This window comes from Homo sapiens, chromosome 8 (genome assembly GCF_000001405.40).
Source record: "Homo sapiens chromosome 8, GRCh38.p14 Primary Assembly".
Classification (NCBI taxonomy): Eukaryota; Metazoa; Chordata; class Mammalia; order Primates; family Hominidae; genus Homo; species Homo sapiens.
The window spans coordinates 63769183-63787558 of NC_000008.11; the positions used below are offsets into that span (position 1 = coordinate 63769183).

The 18376-nt window shown below is 37.2% G+C and overlaps 1 long non-coding RNA gene across 1 annotated transcript; it reads left to right on the forward strand.

The window, feature by feature from the left end:
• Positions 1–247: 247 nt before the first annotated feature.
• Positions 248–16319, forward strand: LINC01289 (long intergenic non-protein coding RNA 1289). The gene is made up of 3 exons (NR_038875.2): positions 248–663; positions 9267–11740; positions 15498–16319. It is a non-coding gene; the product is annotated as a long intergenic non-protein coding RNA 1289 (long non-coding RNA).
• Positions 16320–18376: the final 2057 nt, after the last annotated feature.

Here is an 18376-nt window from a genome sequence, read left to right on the forward strand (position 1 = left end):
AACAATTGGCTTTCACAAGTCAGGCTGTGCCAGCTCCCCTGCACCACCACAAGTGACAGCAACTGATAAAATTCTTTGAGAAAGAGGCTTCCTGCCCACCGCATTCCACTGTTCAGCTTCTAGAGGAATTGTCAGTAGAACTTCTACTAAATTTGGATACCTGGGGGTAAGATAGACCAAGCCTGTTCTACTACTGGACAATGGACAATCAAACTTGTTTCTAGAACTTCTGGGAATTCTATCCTATGACGATCATGGCATGGAAAGTAAAAATGACTGTATGTGTCAGTGTCAGAGAGGCCTAAGGAACTTTCACCAAGTCTCCTACAGAACAGAGAAGAGAGGCTATGATTTCCTTATGTTCCTGAGAAAGGCAAAGCATTTGTCTGAAAGCGAAAGCCAGGAGATCAAAGTAACTTCCCTGTCACAAGAGGAAACATGAGAGCAGAATTCAGCATGAGTTTTGTATATGGCAATCAAGTATATTCATGGCTATCTAAATGAATGTCCACGTAGAAGTCAGGCAGCACAAAGAACAAGATATAACAGCTGAACGTCCCACTGAAAACCAGCTAAGTGTTGATCACAACCATCAAAAAAATTCTTGTCTTTACTTACAGTGTGACTGTAACTTTCAGAAAGTAACACATCAGTAAAATGCAGGTAATAATGGTAGCTGCTTTTACTAGTGTGAAGGAATGCTTAAGTACATAGTTCCTAAAAGACAGTAAGATTTGAAAAATACATTATACGTGTATTTAAAAGGACTTAAGTATGTCTTGCAACTCTATCTTATTACAGAATCATTTGCTTTTAGGTATATCATTCTGCCTTCAAAAAGGAAGAGGAGCAAGTATTTTCAAGGGCAGGCACTGCTTTTTTATTCTGGAACCCTAGAGATTCAGACCAGGAAACCTGTTAGGATGAGGGCTTTTAAGGAGGCAGGAAGAGAGAAGCTGTGACTTGAAAACAGATGAATCCAGAAGTCACACACACAACTGTTCATCACCTAAGCTGGATATAAGATAATTTTTTATAGTATTTCATTCTTCTTTTCATTACATTGTAGTGTCCTTAAGTAAATCCATTAGCTTGTTTGGGATTAGAGACTATTGTGCTTTTGTTGATATTAACAACAACTTATAAAATGATACATTGTATGTGAGACTCATATATGTAGACAATGTGATGCTCTTGTACACAGAGAGTTAAAGCATGCAGGTGGACAGGGGTGAATGCTGGAGAAAGCGGGGCCAGGGAAGGTAAGTTGTGAGGGAGATATAAGGTCTAATCCAAGCTCTGTGACTGTGGTGTTTGTATTTAGTGGGAATTAAGACTAAATTATGTTTTGTAAAAGAAGTGAAATCTACTTCTTAATTTTTTAGCGCATTCATTGGTGGATTGGTGTCAGGGAAACGTTGCTGGATGGTATTTTGCATACTTAGGTAGTTCTTTGCAGTTCACTACTGTCCTCAAAACCAATCATTTCTTTAAACTGTGTAAAAAACATGATTCATTTAAAGAAAAGCATACTGTTGCTTTAGGGCCTTCAGTGATGTGTACAAAATACAAATTCAACAATTAAATTATGTTAAATTAAATTAACTCTGGCAGCTGTAATTTCCCTTAAAAAGCACAGCAGAGTATTGGGCATGAGAGAATGCCACTCGAAGCCTATTATTTTTTTCCAAAGGTGTCAGTTATTTAATCTTTTGATTCTCAAAATAATTAGTTTGCTCAAATATACGTTTTCTATTATTTAAATATTTCAAATTAAATATATCTATTTGGTATAGCTATAAACTTTTTCTACTTGACATTGTCAATCTATAGTAATAACTTGTCTATTTCAACTGAATCATTAGAAAACATCAACAACATATTAGAAGCACGTAACAATAATCTAGTAACTACCAACATAAACTAATTACTGCAAAAACAATTTGTCACCATATAATAGTGATTACAGCTTGCTTAAAATATATAATTCCATACTTTCATTTTAATCTAATATTCATAGAATATTATGTGTTTCTTGCAGTCTGGAACTACTTCATTTTCTGCACCTAGCAGTAGTTGACTTATTATATTTGTCATTTGGGTTGAATTGAATGAACACATGGTGCCAGAGATGGTGATTTCTCAGTTTTAGTTCTTACCCTTCAGTTCAAGTATCATATTCATCCTTAGGATTATTCTACTTTTTTGCATGTGTATTTTTTGTCTGAATTTCTGAATTTGATTTTAGACCACAAGTAGAGGATGTAATTGACATCAAAAATTAAGGATTACCTAGAACTATCAAAGTTACATTTGGGGATGATTGGAAACAATTCTGGCTGGTATATTTGGCAAATATCTTCATTTCATTCATCAGTTTCAATATGAATAATCATATTGAAAATTGGAGTCAGGCAACCTGGGTTATGGTCGTAGTTCTGACACTAGCTTGTTTTCTAAACTTGGGAAATTCACTTAATTTCTTTTTGTTTTATTTTACTCATTTGTAAACTGTGGATATTACGACTATCTGAAGTAATTTAGTTGTGAGGTTCTAAAATGAAATATTTATATAAAAATAGTTTAAAGGGGGAAACATTTATACCTGTTTTAATTTTCAAGTATATATATAAGTTGATTAATAAAACACATGGTTAACTTTTTTAATTTGAAGCACTGAAGTTCTTTTCTTATGTAAAGATTGTCATTTATCTTCTAGAAACCTAATAATAATGTGAAATATGATTTCATGCACACAATATTTAATATCTATTATATAAAGTCTTAAAAGGTACCAATGCTCTGTTTTCATAAAAAGTAAGTTTTACCAGATATCCTAACTGAGCCAGACATTCCCTGTTCCCAGAGCTTTGCAGAAGTGAGAACTCATTAGTCTCATTAGTCTTCAAAACAAGCAGTCCTTCGATCACAAGGAATCTTGCAGGCTTTCACAGATCTCTGAGGAAGTTTTCTCACCCCTTTCCATTGCCTTAAAACTGTTTGGAACGGAGTTTAGTCTTGTGTGGAGAAAACTATTGGTAATTTTTTCTTTTAATGTTGTGTATCTATGTGACTGTGCGTGCACATTTGTGTGTTTGTGTGTGGGTCAGAGAGAAAGAGAGAGAGAAAGAATCATTGATTTAAAAAGTCGTATAACTTTCTTCTTTATATATTTTCTCTATTATGCATTCGAAATTTTGGTGGGTTGATTAAAATGGGATTTTGATCATCACAGTTATGGGGGCAAAGTATATTTTAAAGGTAGTCTAGGATTATAGTTTTAATACTGACTAGTGATTTGGGCCTGTCCTTAGGCTAAAATTCAGAACAACTTTCTGCAGATTTCTCCATTGTCCCATATGTCATTATGCTCTACTGCAACGGCTAAGGGAGAAGAATAGCTTTCCATTTTTCTGATGTATATTTTTATTTCTTTTTGGTGACTGAGCCACGAGCAGGCCTTTTGCTAATTGAGAGAAGAAAGACAATGTGCTCAGGGTAATTTTTAAAAGCTAAGAGAATTTTCTGAAGATAGAGCCCAAATTGTACAGGCTTTCAAAATAAACACCAGATGTGGTCTGGTTCATGGAATATATTGATTTGATAAGGGATCTTTTTAGGAAAAAAGAGGAAGGAATCAAATCTGGAAGCTATTGTTATGAATCTCTTTTAAGTAGTAAGAAAAAGAATTGGTGTCAAAGATTTGGTGTGGAGCCCAGGCCAGCCACTTAGCTGTGTTCCTTTTTCACTCTGAGACCGCTCTGATTAATTTTTACAAATATAAAGGGAAACCTTTGTTATATATAAGTGTGTAAAACTGTGATGATCAGATCACCTGAAAGTGGTTTTATTTAACAACATTAATGTGGGTGAGGGAATTTGGAAGAAGTTCTGGCCAGCCCTTAGTCCTGGCCTGAGGGCTGAGGAGGAAGCTGTGTTTCTTTCCTAGGCCCATTTGGGATCTCAGATCCTCACCTGGCTGAGGAGAAACACATGAACCTGGGGCACCCATAACCCACAAATCCTGGAATAAGGGCATCTCATTTAGGCTGGGATCATGTGGAACAGTGGTTCTTGGACTTTGTCATCCATCAGAATCTTCTGGAGACCTTGCTATAATATATTTTCCTAAGCCCCATTCCCAGAGATTCAGTGGTAAGTTTAGGGCCCATGAAATCTCATTTCTTCCACACTCATAGTGATGCTAGTGCTACTGGCCTGAGAATCACACTTGGAGAGACTCCCCATCCCAGAGATAGTGAGCACATGACTTCTTTGTGCCCAGAGTCTTGGTGAATCATCTTTCTCACATGGAGAAAAGCTTTTTCCCTAAAGAAAGGAAATAATGAACAAAATAAGAAAAGCAGCAAGGATTCTTTTCCTGGTCCTGCAGTAGGCATCTTAGTGTCCCTTAGTTCTGTGATCTTCACAGCGCCCTGTGAGGAAGCAAGTGCTGTCTTCGTTCATTCAGGCTGCTGTGACAAAAATACCATAAATTGATAAACAACACAAATTTGTTTCTCACTGTTCCGAAGCCTGGAAGTTCAAGATCAGCGTGCTGAGAGATTGGGTGGCTGGTGAGGGCCCACTTTCTATTTCACAGAACAGAGCCTTCTCATTGTGTCCTCACATGGCAGAAGGGGTGATGGAGCTCCCTTGGACTCTGTTATAAAGACACCAATCCCATCTTTGAGTGCTTTGCCTCCATGACCTAATCCCCGCCCGAAGGCCCCACCTCCTAACACCATCACAAAGGTGACTGGATTTCAACATGAGAATTTTGGGGGGACATAGACCATAGCAAGTACTATCTTGGTATCAGAAGAACAGGAAACTGAGCCGTGGAGAGAGAAAATAAACACCATCCATGTAACAGGTCAATAAAACAGACCTGGGGTTCAAACTGAAACTCTGACTCCATTTCACACTCCTTTTCTAGGATCCTCATATTACATTAAAAGAAAAAATCAGTAAAAAAAAGGGTCTTAATAATATTTATCTTTTTATTATTATTATTATACTTTAAGTTTTAGGGTACATGTGCACAATGTGCAGGTTAGTTACATATGTATACATGTGCCATGCTGGTGTGCTGCACCCATTAACTCGTCATTTAGCATTAGGTATATCTCCTAAAGCTATCCCTACCCTCTCCCCCCACCCAACAACAGTCCCCAGAGTGTGATGTTCCCCTTCCTGTGTCCATGTGTTCTCATTGTTCAACTCCTACCTATGAGTGAGAATATGCGGTGTTTGGTTTTTTGTTCTTGCAATAGTTTACTGAGAATGATGATTTCCAATTTCATCCATGTCCCTACAAAGGACATGAACTCATCATTTTTCATGGCTGCATAGTATTCCATGGTGTATATGTGCCACATTTTCTTAATCCAGTCTATCATTGTTGGACATTTGGGTTGGTTCCAAGTCTTTGCTATTGTGAATAGTGCCGCAATAAACATACATGTGCATGTGTCTTTATAGCAGCATGATTTATAGTCCTTTGGGTATATACCCAGTAATGGGATGGCGGGGTCAAATGGTATTTCTAGTTCTAGATCCCTGAGGAATCACCACACTGACTTCCACAATGGTTGAACTAGTTTACAGTCCCACCAACAGTGTAAAAGTGTTCCTATTTCTCCACATTCTCTCCAGCACCTGTTGTTTCCTGACTTTTTAATGATTGCCATTCTGACTGGTGTGAGATGGTATCTCATTGTGGTTTTGATCTGCATTTCTCTGATGGCCAGTGATGGTGAGCATCTTTTCATGTGTTTTTTGGCTGCATAAATGTCTTCTTTTGAGAAGTGTCTGTTCATGTCCTTCACCCACTTTTTGATGGGGTTGTTTTTTTCTTGTAAATTTGTTTGAGTTCATTGTAGATTCTGGATATTAGTCCTTTGTCAGATGAGTAGATTGCGAAAATTTTCTCCCATTTTGTAGGTTGCCTGTTCACTCTGATGGTAGTTTCTTTTGCTGTGCAGAAGCTCTTGAGTTTAATCAGATCCCATTTGTCAATTTTGGCTTTTGTTGCCATTGCTTTTGGTGTTTTAGACATGAAGTCCTTGTCCATGCCTATGTCCTGAATGGTAATGCCTAGGTTTTCTTCTAGGGTTTTTATGGTTTTAGCTCTAACATTTAAGTCTGTAATCCATCTTGAATTAATTTTTGTATAAGGTGTAAGGAAGGAATCCAGTTTCAGCTTTCTACATATGGCTAGGCAGTTTTCCCAGCACCATTTATTAAATAGGGAATCCTTTCCCCATTGCTTGTTTTTCTCAGATTTGTCAAAGATCAGATAGTTGTAGATATGTGGTGTTATTTCTGAGGGTTGTGTTCTGTTCCAATGATCTATATCTCTGTTTTGGTACCAGTACCATGCTGTTTTGGTTACTGTAGCCTTGTAGTATAGTTTGAAGTCAGGTAGCGTGATGCCTCCAGCTTTGTTCTTTTGGCTTAGGATTGACTTGGTGATGCGGGCTCTTTTTTGGTTCCATATGAACTTGAAAGTAGTTTTTTCCAATTCTGTGAAGAAAGTCATTGGTAGCTTGATGGGGATGGCATTGAATCTATAAATTACCTTGGGCAGTATGGCCATTTTCATGACATTGATTCTTCCTACCTATGAGCATGGAATGTTCTTCCATTTGTTTGTATCCTCTTTTATTTCATTGAGCAGTGGTTTGTAGTTCTCCTTGAAGAGGTCCTTCACATCCCTTGTAAGTTGGATTCCTAGGTATTTTATTCTCTTTGCAGCAATTGTGAATGGGAGTTCACTCATGATTTGGCTCTGTGTTTGTCTGTTATTGGTGTATAAGAATGCTTGTGATTTTTGTACATTGATTTTGTATCCTGAGACTTTGCTGAAGTTGCTTATCACCTTAAGGAGATTTGGGGCTGAGACAATGGGGTTTTCTAGATATACAATCATGTCCTCTGCAAACAGGGACAATTTGACTTCCTTTTTTCCTAATTGAACACCCTTTATTTCCTTCTTCTGCCTAATTGCCCTGGCCAGAACTTCCCACACTATGTTGAATAGGAGTGGTGAGAGAGGGCATCCCTGTCTTGTGCCAGTTTTCAAAGGGAATGCTTCCAGTTTTTGCCCATTCAGTATGATATTGGCTGTGGGTTTGTCATAGACAGCTCTTATTATTTTGAGATATGTCCCATCAATACCTAATTTATTGAGAGTTTTTAGCATGAAGCATTGTTGAATTTTGTTAAAGGCCTTTTCTGCATCTATTGAGATAATCATATGGTTTTTGTCTTTGATTCTGTTTATATGCTGGATTACATTTATTGATTTGTGTATATTGAACCAGCCTTGCATCCCAGGGATGAAGCCCACTTGATCATGGTGGATAAGCTTTTTGATGTGCTGCTGGATTTGGTTTGCCAGTATTTTATTGAGGATTTTTGCATCAATGTTCATCAAGGATATTGGTCTAAATTTCTTTTTTTTGGTTGTATCTCTGCCTGGCTTTGGTATCAGGATGATGCTGGCCTCATAAAATGAGTTAGGGAGGATTCCCTCTTTTTCTATTGATTGGAATAGTTTCAGAAGGAATGGTACCAGTTCCTCCTTGTACCTCTGGTAGAATTCAGCTGTGAATCCATCTGGTCCTGGACTCTTTTTGGTTGGTAAGCTATTGATTATTGCCATAATTTCAGAGCCTGTTATTGGTCTATTCAGAGATTCAACTTCTTCCTGGTGTAGTCTTGGGAGGGTGTATGTGTCGAAGAATTTATCCATTTCTTCTAGATTTTCTAGTTTATTTGCGTAGAGGTGTTCGTAGTATTCTCTGATGGTAGTTTGTATTTCTGTGGGATCGGTGGTGATATCCCCTTTATTATTTTTTATTGCGTCTATTTGATTCTTCTCTCTTTTCTTCTTTATTAGTCTTGCTAACAGTCTATCAATTTTGTTGATCCTTTCAAAAAACCAGCTCCTGGATTCATTAATTTTTTGAAGGGTTTTTTGTGTCTCTATTTCCTTCAGTTCTGCTCTGATTTTAGTTATTTCTTGCTTTCTGCTAGCTTTCGAATGTGTTTGCTCTTGCTTTTCTAGTTCTTTTAATTGTGATGTTAGGGTGTCAATTTTGGATCTTTCCTGCTTTCTCTTGTGGGCATTTAGTGCTATAAATTTCCCTCTACACACTGCTTTGAATGTGTCCCAGAGATTCTGGTATGTTGTGTCTTTGCTCTCATTGGTTTCAAAGAACATCTTTATTTCTGCCTTGATTTCGTTATGTACCCAGTAGTCATTCAGGAGCAAGTTGTTCAGTTTCCACTTAGTTGAGTGGTTCTGAGTTTCTTAATCCTGAGTTCTAGTTTGATTGCACTGTGGTCTGAGAGACAGTTTGTTATAATTTCTGATCTTTTACATTTGCTGAGGAGTGCTTTACTTCCAACTATGTGGTCAATTTTGGAATAGGTGTGGTGTGGTGCTGAAAAAAATTTATATTCTGTTGATCTGGGGTGGAGAGTTCTGTAGATGTCTATTAGGTCCGCTTGGTGCAAAGCTGAGTTCAATTCCTGGGTATCCTTGTTAACTTTCTGTCTCGTTGATCTGTCTAATGTTGACAGTGGGGTGTTAAAGTCTCCCATTATTATTGTGTGGGAGTCTAAGTCTCTTTGTAGGTCACTCAGGACTTGCTTTATGAATCTGGGTGCTCCTGTATTGGGTGCATATATATTTAGGATAGTTAGCTCTTCTTGTTGAATTGATCTCTTTAGCATTATGTAATGGCCTTCTTTGTCTCTTTTGATCTTTGTGGGTTTAAAGTCTGTTTTATCAGAGAGTAGGATTGCAACCCCTGCCTTCTTTTGTTTTCCATTTGCTTGGTAGATCTTCTTCCATCCTTTTATTTTGAGCCTATGTGTGTCTCTGCACGTGAGATGGGTTTCCTGAATACAGCACACTGATGGGGTCTTGACTCTTTATCCAATTTGCCAGTCTGTGTCTTTTAATTAGAGCATTTAGTCCATTTACATTTAAAGTTAATATTGTTATGTGTGAATTTGATCCTGTCATTATGATGTTATATTTATCTTACTCATTAACAGAATTTGGATTTGAGCAGATTCATGGAGTTTACGTGAAATAGTATGTGGTGAATAGTGTCGCTGGTACTCACAAGCCTTCTTTCATGGAGAATTGGTTCTCCTTTTCCTGCCATCATTCCCTCCTCCTGTCCCAGCGGTCAGCACCTCCCTTGCTTGGTCTGTCTAACACTCTTTTTTCTAATTATGCCTCTTAGCTACTTTGACTCGAAGATAACAGCCATACTGTTCACAGTGAGGTCCACAGACCAGCAGCTTCATCATTGTCATGTGAGGATGTGTCAGAAATGCAGAACCTCAGGCTCCACCTCAGACCTACTATGGAATCAGAATCTTCGCCTTATTAAGATCCCCAGGGGACTGGGTGCAGTGGCTCATACCTGTAATCCCAGCACTTTGGGAAGCCAAGGCAAGTGGATCACTTCAGGTCAGGAGTTCGAGATGAGCCTGGCCAACATGGTGAAACCCCATCTCTACTAAAAATACAAAAATTACCTGGGCGTGGTGGTGCACACCTGTAATCTCAGGTACTCAGGAGGCTGAGGCAGGAGAATTGCTTGAATCTAAGAAGCAGAGGTTGCAGTGAGCTGAGATCATGCCATCGCACTCCAGACTACAGCCTGGGTGACAGAGTGAGATCTTGTCTCAAAACAACAGCAACAACAAAAAGATGACCCCCAGGCAATTCGGCAATTCATATGCACATGCAAGTTTGAGAACAACGGGAAATGACGAGAAAATAAAGAACTGAGAACAATCTCTTATACCACCCCACAAAGATTGTTTCTATTTTTCTAACCTTGATGTCTTCTGTATTTCAGTTTGTAAGTTCCTTGATGGCAGGAACTCGATTCACATCATTCAATGGCATTTCCAATACTGCGTGACATCTAGTAAATGAGAAATGACTATTTGTTGACTACATGCTGCCCAAATCACTATATCAGGTTCAGATTTCTCTGAGCCCCAGAATTATTACTTTGATTTGGGCATTTCCTGATTTTTTTATAGACACCACTAATTCATCATGTGCAAATTGATTTCTCACTTATATCTGCTTCATCTCTAGTTTTCCTTCTTTGTGAGGATGGTACCCCATTTTCACAGTCATGCAGTGACTACATTCTTACATTCCACATACATGCATACAGAATCCATCACATTATTTATACCATCATGGCTGCCCCCTGTATTGTTTGATTATTTCTTGACTGATTTATCTTCATGGTGTTCTTTCTTGCTACCTTGTCTATTGTGTTACATCTCATGTATCTATTCTTTACACTGCCTCCAAGGTGGTTACCCCAAATCTAAACCTGATCAAGCCACCTTTTCTTCTCTTTTTTCTTTTTCTTTTTTTTTTTTTTTCCTAAATAGCTTCTGGTGCCTTTCAGGATAAAATTTAATCTCTGTAGAGGATTTTCCAAGGTGCATCATTATCTGCTCCTTGTCTACTTCTCTACTCTCCTATGTTAGCTCTCTCCTGCCCAGGTGCTCTATCACTATAATCCCGCCTCATTCTATGACTTGCTATAATAAGTGCAGTTTGCTGTCTCTTGCATCCAGAACTGGCTAATCTTTTGCAATCCTTTCAATACTTGCTGAACTTGAAAACCTTCACTCTCCTTTCAGGACTTGGGGCAATGTCTTTGTTATTAAAAATCCTTAGATGTTTCTGGTCTAAGGTAGGTGCCTCTTCCATCTTTTGCCACTGATCTTGTGTACATCTCCTTCATAGAACTTACCACGTTGCATCACAACTTTGTTTACGTATTAGATCCAGAGACTTTATCTTATCTCTACATAACAAGAGACTGGTTCTTTAGAACAAATCCACAGACTTTTATCTCTATATCTCTATAACATATCTTGGTTTAGAAGTCATTATAGATCTCAATTACAAATATTTTGAATTGATGAGTGTATAATTTGGAGGCAGGAATTTTCAAACAGGGGCTTAGAGGAAAGTTGAAGATTATAAATACCTCTGGAGAGCAAGGATCATGCCTTGTTTACCAGTGAGCTCTCAGAGCTTATCACTGTCTTTGAAATACAATATGTACTCCATAAATATTTGTTGAAGAAGCAAAGGGATAGATGGAATAATGGATGAATAGATGTGGTCAACAAAATATTGCTATAAAACTTTATTCTCTGCTTGATAAAGGCATTCTCACCACCTGCTTTGTTTCTCCAGATTTTGTCTTCTACTCCCTCCAACTGGGTCTGGTGACAGACAGACCTGTAGGCCCAGGCCTGTGCTAGTTCCGAGCTAGGTATGACAGGGACAGGAGTTATATCAGCACCCTCAGTCCTATCCTTCTGGGATTCAGTTTTGTCGATTACGAAGGCCTGGTGCATCAGCAATAAGTTCTGTGACTATGTGTCAGCAACTTATTAATAACAGCCTTGGGTGAGCAAGGCACGTTTGGCAGAGTTATTTCATCATCCCTCCTATCAGTTTCAATTTTCTCTGCTATATGCCAGTACTTCCCACCCAGACTTGACTTCCTCCATAGACAGCTTGTGGGCATCATTTTGTGCCCCTCAAATGTCACACTCTGCTACCTGCCCTGTTCCTGATTATTAGGATTATCAACTACACGATAATTTCTGATGCTGAATCTGTATATCTCTGTTTTCACCTCCCTCCAACCCTACATTTCTTCAGGTAAGATACAGGAATGATGGTGCTTTTTAAAGTTTTAATTCATTGATGCAAATCTGGTTGTCATTGGGGTAATCCTAATAAGCCATTTTATCCATCAGATAAACTATGCATGCTGAGTACTTTATAAACATATTTTCCTAGATACATTTTTTACATAGATATTGCTGATATTCTCACACATAATTATTAATCCTTTCATATTGTTAAAATTTTGGAGGCTGTCTTATACATCATCCTTAAAATGAAATAAATATCCATGAGTTCACACTGATGTAAATAATTAAATAAATAAATAACTAAATGAATAGGAGAGAAAGGAAAGCTCTGATTTTATAAAAAGGATAATTGCATTATATTAATGTGAAATCATTTTCCTTTAAAAGAGAACAAAGAGAGAAATGCTTTTTTTAACAGAAGAATTGCAATTAATAAATGTAGAAGAAATGAGGGAAGTTGAAAATCACCAATAGGCAACCATTGCAATAATAACTGTAGGCAAGCTACACGGATGGATGCTAAAATTAATGTGGTGAAGTTTGGGGAGAAACACAGCATTTGCATAACTTCCAAGTATCTCCCTCAAGATCATTATTATTTACAAAAGGAAAAATAGTCACTTTATCATGGAGAAAGCTGGCAGACACTATCTTGCCAAATGATTAAGGTTAACATTATTCCTTGATGCACCCTTCACTGGGATGGACACATTATTTCTGTGCTATTACTGCCAAAAACTGCATAATGTCTTAAGGTAATTGTGAGATAACACCAGAAGGAAAAAGAAAACCATTGGATGTCAGTCTACAAAATACCTAAGTGATACTCTTCAAAAGTGTGTCAGATCATGAGAAACAACAAGACTGTGGCAGGCCAGACAAAGAAAGGCAAGAAGTTGTCAGAGATTGGAGAAGATTAATGAAGCACAACCTAGTGCAGAAAAAGAACATTAAGGGAAAAACTTGTAAAAAATGTAATAGTCTATAGTTTCATTAATAATATTATACCCATTTAATTTCTAAGTTTTGATAATCATACCATGATTATGCAAGATGCTATCATTAGGAGAAGCAAGATAAAAGAGAGTTGGTAATTCTCTGTATTATTTCTACAACTTTTCTGTAAGCCTATATTTATTTCAAAATAATGTCCTTAGGTTAAAAGACTGTAAATGGATTAGTACAGGGTCTGCTTGGCCAGGCGCAGTGGCTTACGCCTGTAATCCCAGCACTTTGGTAGGCCAAGGCAAGTGGATCACTTGAGGTCAGGAGTTCAAGACCAGCCTGGCCAACATGGTGAAACCCTGTCTCCACTAAAAAAATTCAAAAAATTAGCCATGCATGGTGGCATGTGCTTGTGATCCCAGCTACTTAGGAGGCTGAAGCAGAAGAACTGCTTGAACCTGGGAGGCAGAGGTTGCAGTGAGCCGAGATTGCGCCATTGCACTCTGCACTCTAGCCTGGGCGACAGAGTGAAACTCCGTCTAAAAAAAAAAAAAAAAAGAACAGGGTCTGCCATGCTGTAAATGCTTAATAAAGTCTCTCATCTGCCCAGACTGCCTGGACAGGCCACACCAAGTGCCTGCATGAATTCCTAGGCTGCACACAACTGTACTTTGCCCACATCTGACCCTTGTGTGACAAACCCCATTCCACCAACATGTAGTCCTCTCCAGATAAGTCCCGGAAAATTTGGGCTCTATTCCTCTGTCCCTAATCATGTAGGGGAATAAAACTAGAAATGCTTATTTCTTGCTTTGTCTGTCCAATGTCTACCTTAAGAGACTGCTTGGCTTGCTCTGAATGTCAGTAGAGAATTCTAGCAAGACTGCATGGAGATAGTCAAGAAGGACTCACACATGGGGGACCATATTTAGCTAATCTTCCAGAGCTCTTGGATGGCATCGCTGCCTCAATAGATAAGAAAAAATGTTTTCAAAGAGCATTTGACAAGGTTTCACATTGAAGATTTATATCTAAAGCAGACTAAGGGAATGGGAGGTAAAATAGCATATTGTAGCAGAAAACTAATTTAAGAGTAGTAGACAAAAAGCAGTCATAGATGGCAAGCTCATCTTCCAAGGGGGTGAGAAATCAAATGCTTTCCAGAGCTCTGGGAATAAGACCTACATATTTTGGGACGTGTGCAGAGAAGAAAAGATCATTGAATTTGCTGGTGTTGCTGAAATTGAAGTCTTAGCAAATAATAAGATGCAATATGATCAGATTGAAAAGGATTTGAATTGCAGGTGATTAAGGCAGAGGATGCCAAATGCAGTTCAGGTATACAGATACAAAACAATAAGCACAGGATCAAGGAGCCAATTATGCAGAACATATACCCAGAAAAGTATTTGAAGGATATTGTGGGAAAATCTGCCAAACCATCAGCATAGAGCACAACTGCATTAGAAAAAGCAACCTGGATTTACTTGGTTATCTCATCAAAGGGGAAGAAGATGAGAAGAGAGAGTGAAGCTATACCTTTGTAAGGCATTAACTTGATTCCTATTTTGAATATAGTGTCCACTGCCAGACTAAAAACAGAAAAAGGAGCCTCGGCTTGGGGATGGGGGATACAGTAAAGGGAAATGTTTAATTGGGAAACTATTTCCATTTTAGTCTCAATGGGATATAGAAGATTTCACAGCAGAGGTTTTAAAAATTGGGTGTTCTCAGGAAAATTTTTGAAATGTGAAAAATGGTGAACAAATTATTCTTTAGATGCATGCATTGTTCTAACAATAGGCTCAAATATTCTTTGAAGGACTCAACTAAAAGTTTACTATCAATGTGTTGGTATGTGCATATAAAGGCAAAATTCAGCCCCAGGGTTAATACAGGGGAACCAGAGCAGAACTATTTAATGCTACATACAAGAAAAAAAACCGCCAGGAAAAGTTGGAGAAGTAGAAGTGCAAATGAATTGAAGAGACACTTAAACTTATTTTTGGTGAAGAAGGTGATTAAAAATCATTGTTAAAAAAAATCACAGGGAAGAGCAAGTGAGAACCAATTTTAAATGACAAGTTTTGACAAGCAAAGTTTTCCTAATTATAAAACCTTCACATATAAGCTAGAACGCAGTTATGTAAACAAGCCTTGAAGTTTTCAATTTATTTATATTTGTGTGCATTGCTGATCTTATTCTGCCACAGGAAATGTGGGTCCATTTTAATATAAGTGCAGTGTATACCAATTTCACGTGGCTCAAGCTAACATTCTACTTAACATGGTCTACTGGATTCAGTGGGTATGAGGCAAACATGGAGTTCTGGCTGCAGCCATTGGCACACAGAGTAAAGTTAAAGCAGAGGTGATTTCATTGGTCATTTAGGATTTAAAAATAATTTTTATCTAAAATGTGCAGAAAAGTACAGCAAAATATTGAGCCTTGTTTACTCTTTGATACTGTTATGTGGTTGTCTCCATTCACCACTTTGCTTTGCATGATAAAGAATCACAAAAATTTCTTCCTAGAAGAGACCTTAAGGATCACCTAGTACAATCCTCTTAAATTACAGATAAGGCAAATGAGAAACAGAGGGCTTAAGAAATTTACCAAAACTTTAAATGGTATTTAGAAGGAAGCCCAAAACTAGATTCTTTATTTCTAATTTAGCATTTTAACATTCAAAGTTGTGGTATCCTAAATTTATAAAACCAGTTCACCAGTATTATGCTCTTATTCCTGCAATTATATTTTATTTATACCTCTTTTTAAATATTTTCATTTTTAAATTTATGTTTTCATTTTTCAGAGATGGAAATCTAGAATTTCTTGCAGCTTGGCAGCATAGGAGCCAATGGGGTAGCAATGTGAAAGTCAAGAAGTACACCTCATCTCCAGGACAGCAAGAGTGATCCCTGCCTGACAATGATGCTGGGAGAAGATGTGCCGGTGCTCAAGAAGGCACCGTCCCTCATGCACAGCCACATGCCACAGGTCACACAACATTGGCAGGAGTCCAGACCACTTTTTGTCTAGTAGTAGCTTTACTGGGACCTACTATAACTTGGGCAAGTTAAGTCTTCTTCCTGGATTTTGTTTCTCTTTAAACGAGAGAATAAGAGTAGATGGGCTACAAAGTTCCCAAAGAACTTAGCTAAGATTCTGGCATATAGTTACAGTATGGATTAAGTAGAAGGTGATGAGGCAGAGAGTGAACATGACATTGGTGTGTGGCCAGATTTACACTTGGACCTTCTTTAGCGGGGGCACCCGTTGAAAATCAGCCTGCAAATCCTCAATAAATCCAGCACTGCCAGTTTTTTTCATTCTGAAACAGACTGCATTTGGTGAGGCAGGAGGGTGAGCATTATATAAAAGAGATATTTTGCATTTTAGGAGCAATGATATATACAAAATAAGTACTATAGCATTAAAATACAATCACACTCATTGTTGAAAGATGTTTACATTATGAGAAAAAAATCCATGCTCCTGACATCAACTGAAGGGGCATCTCTCACAAGACCTGGGGAGTGGAAGTATGGAATCTAATGTTACTACAGCAAGTGAATCCACCTTGCATAGAGTGAAATATTTGTAAAACTCCTAATTAGAACAGATTTTTAAAAAATTATTTCTCAAGTGTTTCTTCCTTTGACCTAATGTGTTTACCCTATTGCTTACCTATTAACTGTCAATTTCCTGCCAAAAAGTCTCTATCGTTAGAGATAAAGTATTAATATCAATATATCATATGTGAATTTACATCATTACTCTCCCAACAGAAGGACTCTGTACCTGTAGAAATCTTCCTACATATTATTCAAGTGTTATATATGCCAGGAGAACTTAGCACTTACTAATGAATATCTGTTCCATTATTCAGATAACACTGGGTTACACAGTTAAAGCAGGATAAGAGGAACGGAATTTTGCAAATGGCATTTCACTGTTTTGTACTGGAGTATGAGCAGCCACAGCCTATGCTTAACTTAGAACTTCACACTGTATTGTAAGGTAGTCTTTGGAGTTGAGACTGCCTGCAGTATCTGTTTTCTGAGTGTGCTTTGAGAGCATGATAATATAATATTGAATTATTTTGTACCAGAAATTTATAGACATTTTAGGATATGTCTACCACCAGGCATGGTGACAGTGGGATCCATAATTTTTCTATAACATTTTGGAAGGCAGATAAAGGATTTTTATAAAATGTTTGATTTTTTGTGCTTTGCAAACACGGTAAGCAAAAATTAAATAAATAATGTAGTAGGGACCCAAAGAAACAGCTTTAATTGCACACATCCCCACCTCATTTCAGGAGTTCTTGGAAGACAGATCTTTCAGGACTAGCTTCTATTAATGACAGTATAATTGCTGGTATGTAGTGTCCTTTACTTTCTTGCTATTTTTTTCTTGTAATTTATTTGTAAGAGGTGATGTTTTGATGTTTCCTGAGGGATTGTTCCTCATTTATGTGTGGCTTGATTTGTATTGCAAAACTTATGCTAGAAAAATACTTTTGGTGGATTTAATCAAATAGTATTTAACAACAAGAAAGATCAAAAGTATTTTGGATGTATGCTTGTAAAGAAATCTTTCTTGTATTTAAATATGGTATTTAATATTTTGGATATTTTTCTGTACCCAAAGAATGGATTCATGGATACTTTATGAAAAATTAGATACTTATAAAATGCTTAAATTTATAAAATTTAATTTTAATTAAATGTAATGAATATACATCCCTAATATTTGAATAATTGTACATAGATGTTTCCTTACTGTATTTTCCCTTGGAACATCAATGGGAAAGAACGAATTTCACAATATTCAATAATATTCAGCTATTTAATACAAACCAGAACCCTTTTGCCACTATTAAACTTTAGAAAAATACAAACATCTATGAAATTATTTTTATTATATTAAAGATAATGCAGTCTATAATTTTTATTGCTTTACACACTGATGTAATGATTTCCATGACTATCAGTTGTGGGATCCCATTCAGAATCAGCTTATCAAATCAATGCTAAAATTAACCAGAATGTGGGCTTTAAATGAAGAGTATAAATTGAAACTCAGAATTTGTTTTAAAATATGCATTTGGGAATAAAATAGGCACCTAATGATTAATAATATTCAAATTGATAAGAAAGAAAAGCAACAATAAAACTTCCTACCAGAAACTTTTTACTTATCTAGGCACCCTCACCCATTTCACTCAATATTATTTTTACTAGAAACGACCCTACCAAATATAACCCACAAAAAAATAATAGTTTTGCTTCACTTGCTTCGCCTACAGTGCCAGGGGGATAGATTTAATGATCTTATAGGTCTTTTCAATCTATCTAATATTTGTGAAATGGCAACTGTCAATGTTGAACAAGAAATTGCTGAAATAGCACAACTTTTTGAAATGGATAATATCTCATAGGACAAGAGCCCAGAAATGGAAAGAACAACCATAAACCTCACTGAAATTCATCTCAACAGAATGCCAACTTTACTCTTCGCATAATAAAAACAACCAACTTTAAAAATGCTATCTGTCAATGACTCAAAAATCAGCCATTTTGAAAATCTCAGCACCGGCTATTGCATATGCCAAAGAGTAAGGTGGCTCCTAGTGTATTTCTTTTCCATTTTGACTTTTGCTACTGCCTGACCAGTTGGTTACTA